At 48.8% G+C, this 6,657-nt stretch overlaps 1 protein-coding gene and 1 long non-coding RNA gene across 3 annotated transcripts; one reads left to right on the top strand and one right to left on the bottom strand.

The window, feature by feature from the left end:
- On the bottom strand, positions 71–1,455 carry LLCFC1 (LLLL and CFNLAS motif containing 1). 2 transcript variants are annotated; one of them, NR_160290.1, is made up of 3 exons: positions 1,440–1,455; positions 1,185–1,251; positions 74–587 (listed from the first exon to the last, which is right to left on the bottom strand). NR_160290.1 is itself a non-coding variant. In NM_001382496.1 (2 exons), the coding sequence occupies exons 1-2, from the start codon at positions 1,315–1,317 to the stop codon at positions 352–354; spliced, it is 369 nt and encodes a 122-aa protein (NP_001369425.1). In that variant the 5' UTR covers positions 1,318–1,455; the 3' UTR covers positions 71–351. The 2 variants fall into 2 exon arrangements, 1 of the variants encoding a protein (NP_001369425.1); NM_001382496.1 differs by having other exon boundaries at positions 71–587; positions 1,185–1,455.
- On the top strand, positions 3,989–5,212 carry LOC105375542 (uncharacterized). The gene is made up of 2 exons (XR_928065.1): positions 3,989–4,533; positions 5,093–5,212. It is a non-coding gene; the product is annotated as an uncharacterized LOC105375542 (long non-coding RNA).

The following is a 6,657-nucleotide window of genomic DNA, read 5'->3' as shown; positions in this document are numbered from 1 at the left end:
GATTGGACAATAAAGCAGTCTAGTTGGAGACGAGAAGGGCTTGGATTAAGTATCGGAAAGCTGCTCCCAATTGTTCTCAGGATTTTATCGTTATTTTATTGTCATTGCCTCCTGCCTCTAATCTGCTGTCCTGAACAAAACCAGGAGAGGTGTGGGAGAGAAGGATGTGGGTCTGCTGTCTCTGGCCCTGGGAGATGAAACTCCGAACCTGGAGAGGCAGTCAGTTAGCACTGATGGCAACTGGTATCTCTGCTGCTGAACCTTGAGATACAGTGATGGTGATCAGAGGCAGAGAGCCATGCCTGCATCTCCTTTGGGAGTTGTGACCTGGAGCCCAGGAGGGAGGGAGGGTCAGTGAGTGAGCATGAAGCAGAGTTGGATATTTGGGAATGTCCGCCTCAATGGCCCTCCTGAGAAAACCATGACACTGGCCAGACTAAAGCAGAAGCTGAGGTGGAAAGAGTGCTTGTGAACAGCTGCCGTCTTGGACGACTGGTCTTCTTCCTGCTGGGCCATGTCCACCACCTGCCACATCTCACCCACTGAGGAGGCCACAAAGTGCTCTTCGAACTGTTCTTGATTCTGGTCTGGAACAGGGGAAAAGGACAAGGACTGAGCCCTGACCCTGGCCTGAACCAGAAAGGAGAAGTTAGAATAGGAAAAACACGTTGAAGCCTAGGGCTGCAGTCCCAATTGCCCATATCCTTAGCCTTCACCAGAGAGGGGATGCTCTTTCTAGAGGTTTTTTCTGGTCTGTGTTCAATCACAGCCCCAACTCAAACACACACACACACACACACACACACACACACACACACACACACACACACACCATTCCTAAGGTTAGCTGCCTCCTCTAGGGTTTCAACACTGGGGGAGTCAGGGGCCACCTTGAAGCATGACAAAAGCCAGCCAAATGCACCATGCTTACACACACAGAAGTTGCATGCAAGCTCAGCTGGCCCATGGTGAGCCGACACTATTATTTCACATGATAACCATCAGTGGCTGGAGTTACCCCCCATAAACCAGACCTATGTCAGGTCTCACCCTAGCCTCATCAGTGACCTGGGGCCTGGCCTCACACAGACCTCACCCTGAGCCTCCAGACTCTCCCGTCTTTTTTTCTACCTACCTGAAGAGGGTGTTTTCTCTGTATGGCTCCTGTCTTTTTTTCCACCTACCTGCAGAGGGCGTTTTCTCTGTCTGGCTCCCATCTTTGGGGCCTGGGCTCCCGTTCAGAGGCTTCACCTGCAGCAGCAGCAAGATAGGAACCAGGAACACTGCCCTGCAGAGCTGGGGGGCCAGGGGAGGCATGGACCTGCCCACCCACTGCCTTTGGCCGCCCCCTGCTCCCAGTGCCCAGCAGGATCCGTGCACCTCCTGCCCCATTCCTGTCCTGGCCCTTAACCCTTTCCAGGGGCATTTTCTCCCCTCACCTTCCATAGGACCTCTGACTTCACATGTTCTGTGACATCACAGCCATGGGCCTGAACTTCATTCCGGCTCACTAGAGCGTTCCAATGGCGAGGCACAAGAATGGAGCACAGCCAGCAGGGATGGCCGAGGCTTCCAAGATGACCACAGTGGGTCATTCTGTATTTAGCAGAAATGACTTAACAGCTTGCAATGTACATTCATATCCATTACACCATTAGATCCACGTAGAAACCAGGACTGCAAAATCATAGTGTTCTCATATCTATTACATTCATGAGGAAACTGAGGCTCACAGAAAAAATGACTCTCTCACTCAAAATCGCCCAAATACTAAGGGGCAGAAAAGGACTCTTGATTAACTTTTACTTTTAAATATGATATCTTCCCACTATTCTATGTGGCCTTTCTGTAACAAGAGTGGTTTGCATAGGATGAGGCCCAGAACAGATGAGCCGGACAGGATTCTCAAGTCGTGGGTATGAACATGCTGCTCTACATGAAGCATGGGTCTGCCAGAAAATAAAGATGGGGAGGAGCATAGGGTAAGGATGGGTAAAAGCACATGCTGTGTGTGTGTATAAAAGACACAGAGACAGAGACAGGCATAGACAGGCAGAGACAGACAGAGACATAGAAAAAGAGAGAAAGAAAGAGACCGAGACAGGCAGAAACTGAGGGGTAGAGACAGAGAGATAGAGACGCAGAGACAGAGAGACAGATGAAGAGAGAGTGAACGGAGAGAGAGCGAGAGACAAAGAGCAGGGTGCCTTGCAGCTGGTAGAGCCCATTCACACCCTCTCTTCACCCTCCCCTGGTTTTCCCACTTTTCTAGCCTTTGTCCTCTTGTACCACCAGGTTGAAACACCCTCTTCTTTCATTTTACACCTTTCTGTACTCTTAGACGAAAGAAAAGGTTGTTAGAGGCTCATCTCCAACCTCATTGCTTGGCAAAAGGAGTTAGAGTCTGCAGAGAAGCCGCAGTGCGGCAGGGAGTCTAGGATCCCAAATAACAGATCTGGGAGAATCCTGCCTCAGTACTTGGATGCGCCTCCTGCCCATGAGCCTGGTGAGCACAGATCTGTTGGCAGTAACCGGCTGTGGGTAATCACCCCCAACTGCTTCTTGGGCAGAGATGGTTGGAGGGTTGTGAGTTAGGGAGACAGAATGAAGGCCTTTTTTCGAAAACCAGCAACAGAGACATAGGCCATTAGATGCAGGATGGCTGCTAAGACAGGTAAGAGAAGACTTTAGTCACTCCTGAACTCTCATAACCAGTTCACACTGCTCCTGCTCATCCATGCATACCAGACCTGAATGAAATACCACATGCAGGTCCAAGGACACTGCGGAGACAGGCACCCTTTCTGCAAGAGGGAACTGCAGACAGAAACACACAAAGAGATGCTTTCCCACAGAGTTTACTCGTGTTAGCAGACATGCCCACATGGATGCTGTCTCACATACAGCAGACACCATCTCTTACACACTTCCTGATGGTCCAAGCCAGATGACAAGGGACTAGGGAGTGGTACGGAGGTCGCTTGAAGGTGAGTAAGGAAAGATTCAAGTAGGCAGGTGACCCTGCTCACCCCACCTTGAACCCATTGACGTGAGATCCAAAGAATGATGCTTGAATGGAAAAAACCATCACTAATCTCCTCCCTCCTGGCTATTTTGGGGGAGCAGCCTCTTGGTTTCCTGGCAAAAAGAGAAGCCATCTCCAGCTCTGTGGGAATGAATGGGGAGGGCGGCTGGGGTGAGAATTGCCTCCCGGGCAGGCTTGAGTGGAAATAACTGAGTTGTTTCCATTACTTCCATTTCCTTGCCACCACCACCCGCCTGACCTCCGCAGTGTTAAAAGAGATAAATTCTTGCAGAAAACAGGGAATCCCTTAAATATTTTTTCTTATTACAAAGTAGAAAATATAGAAAAATACAAAACCCCAAAAAGGCTAATAATTCCACCATCCAGTGATAATCACTTTTTTTTTTTTGAGATGGAGTCTCACTCTTGTTGCCCAGACGGGAGGGCAATGGCACGATCTCAGCTCACCTACAACCTCCACCTCCTGGGTTCAAGTGATTCTCCTGTCTCAGCCTCCCGAGTAGCTGGAATTACAGGCATGTGCCACCACACCCAGCTAATTTTGTATTTTTAATAGAGAAAGGGTTTCTTTCTGTTGGTCAGGAAGGTCTCGAACTCCCTACCTCAGGTGATCTGCCCGCCTCGGCCTCCCAAAGTGCTGGGATTACCGGTGTGAGCCACTGCGCCTGGCCACAGTTAGTTTTAAGGTATGGTATTTGAATCCTTTTCTTTCTTTCTATTTTTTTTTTTTTGAGATGGAGTCTCTCATACTGTTGCCTGGGCTGGAGTGCAAAGGCGCAATTTCAGCTCACTGCAACCTCCACCTCCCGGGTTCAAGTGATTCTCCTGCCTCAGCCTTCTGAGTAGCTGGGATTGCATGTGCCTGCCACCAGGCCCAGCTAATTTTTTTTTGTAGAGACGGAGTTTCACTATGTTGGCCAGGCTGGTCTCGAACTCCTGACCTCGTGAGGCGCCCGCCTCGGCCTCCCAAAGTGCTGGGATTACAGGCATGAGCCACCGCATCCGGCCCTGAATCCTTTTCGTAGATGGCTGTGGCCACGTAGGGTGGGAGTGTAATTTTTAAAAATGGAAATCTAGGTATTATGGTTCCTCCTCCTCTTTATTATGTTAGAATAAGAGGTCAGGCTGCTTTGGCGTGAAGGGTTCTGGGACTTGACGGTGTAGTTTGGTGCCCCCAGCCCAGTTCTCCCGAGTGCCTGGAGGCATTACTGACCATTCATCAGTGGCAGGGAAGCTGCTCTCTGAAGGCGAGAGTTTGCAGATGTCCTCACTTGCAGAAAGCTGAGAGAGGCATGAAAAGAAAGGAGAGAAAAGGAAAAATAGAATGGTGATGTCGAATATCACAAGAGGAAGAAACAGTCTGGAGAGAAGGCAAGGAGAGAACAGGAGAGACTCCAAATCTCTGGTCTACCAGCTGGGACTGCCGGGGGACACCATGGTCCTCACCCAGGTTACTTGTCCATGCCCTTCCCACTGGAGAGGACGAGGTAGGCAGAGAAGGGCAAGTGAGAGGGCGAAGGCCCAGGGATGGCGGGTGGGGGGGCCTGAGCATTGGGCCTCCCCTTTCTCTTCCCCAGACCCCTGGACATGCCCTTGGCGGCAAGTCCCTGCACACCTGCTCTGTGCAGCTCAGACTGGGCCAGCCTCCTCCCCTGCCGGCCCCCCATGTCCCAACCCCCCCGCCCCAGGACCAGCTTTATGGGTTGTAGTTTCCTTGGCAGGTGCTCCTTTCCTGACCTGCCTCGCTTATCAAGGCATCTACAACCCCCACCTCACCCTTATCGCTCCCTCCATCTCCTTAGACTGGAAGTCACTCCACAAGGGCGTCACCCCCAGCGAGGCAGAAAAATGTCCCACAAGTTGAGCCCTCCCCACTCCCAGTGAGAACATAATTCCACTGTATCTTTTTTTTTTTTTACTTAACTTTTCCTTTTGGCTTTTAATAAGAAAAAGATCCAAATTTTCCCCCTTTTGAAACATCAATGAACACTAGCTCCTCTTAGTTTCCTTATTTATTTTCCTTTCAATTCTTGTCCTTCTCTAAAGGTTATTTTGTCCATCCCTCAATCTTGGGAGCAGATCTCTCTTTCTTACAACAAAAGAAGGGGGCAGTCCCCACTCCTCAAGACCCCCAGAGGGAGAGTCCCAGCGTATCCTCACGCTGGTCTCTCACACCTTTACAGCCAAAAGATTCCCAAGAAGCAACAAGGTCTGGAGAGTGGTTTGGAGCTGAGATCCCAAGTTCATGGCCAGTTACAGTCTCGCCACTAGCCATGGGACTTGGGGCCAGCACACCCAAGAATTCTCACAGACGGAATTCTTCCTTGTTCTCATTTACCTGATAGGTCTATTGAGTGAATGCAATTCAATAATATTGATGTACCTCTTTGAAAACAATGAGAACAGAATTGAACAATGAGAACACTTGGACACAGGAAGGGGAACATCACACACCAGGACCTGTCGTGGGGTTGGGGGAGGGGGGAGGGATACATTAGGAGATATACCTAATGTAAATGACAGTTAATGGGTGCAGCACACCAACATGGCACATGTATACATATGTAACAAACCTGCATATTGTGCACATGTACCCTAGAACTTAAAGTATAATAATAAAAAAAATGAGAACATAAATACAAGCTATCATATACAGTAGTCACCTTTTATCCTCAGGGGATACATTCCAAGACGCCCCAGTGGATGCCAGGAACCTTAGATAGCACCAAACCCTGTATATACTATCTTTTTTCCTACACGTACATACATACATACATACATACATACATACATACATACATACATACATATGATGAAGTTTAATTTATACATTAGGCACAGTGAAGAGTTTAGGCCGGGCATAGTGACTCACGCCTGTAATCCCAGCACTTCAGGAGGCCGAGGCAAGCAGATCACCTGAGGTCAGGAGTTCGAGACTAGCCTGGCCAACATGGTAAAACCCTGTCTCTACTAAAAATACAAAAATTAGCCAGGCGTGGTGGTGGGCACCTGTAATCCCAGCTACTAGGGAGGCTGCGGCAGGAGAATAACTTGAACCTGGAAGGTGGATGTTGCAGTGAGCCAAGATCACACCATTGCTCTCCAGCCTGGGCAACGAAAGTGAAACTCTGTCTCAAAAAAAAAAAAAAAAGAGTTTAACAACAATAAAATGAAAATTATAATAATATAAAGTTATGTGAATGTTCTCTTTCTCTCTGTCTCTCAAAATATGTTATAGTACTGTACTCACCTATTTTCCAACTGTGGCTGACCTTAGGTAACTGAACCATCAGAGAGTGAAACTGTGGATAAGGGAAACTACTTAATATATAAAATATAATATAAAATATATAAAATAGTGCAACATTACTTATTCCTCCTGGTGTTTCATTCCTGGAAAGAGTCCCAAACATGGAATCACGATTTATTTGTCGTCTACCTTTGCTCAGTTTCTGCTGTTCAACCTCCATAATAACTCGAGGCCCCTGGGGGCTCCTCTGACCTGCGTCCCCAGGTACCAGAGCCTGCTCGGCGACGCTCCAGGAAGCTGGCCGGTCACGGTCATGAGGACTTCTCACAGAGAGGGATTGGCCTGGGAAGTGGGGGTCAGA

Source organism: Homo sapiens, chromosome 7, assembly GCF_000001405.40.
Source record: "Homo sapiens chromosome 7, GRCh38.p14 Primary Assembly".
NCBI classification, from domain to species: domain Eukaryota; kingdom Metazoa; phylum Chordata; class Mammalia; order Primates; family Hominidae; genus Homo; species Homo sapiens.
The sequence above is the reverse complement of the archived record's forward strand: the minus strand, read 5'-3'. Positions and strand labels throughout refer to the sequence as shown.

What these genes read in the sequence shown, in the direction of transcription:
- LLCFC1 (NM_001382496.1), bottom strand. Translation starts at nt 1,317, where the DNA reads ATGCCTCCCCTGGCCCCCCAGCTCTGCAGGGCAGTGTTCCTGGTTCCT. An exon ending in AGAGAAAACGCCCTCTGCAG is followed by an intron (nt 588 to 1,184) that starts GTAGGTGGAAAA and finishes CCCCTGTTCCAG; the next exon opens with ACCAGAATCAAGAACAGTTC.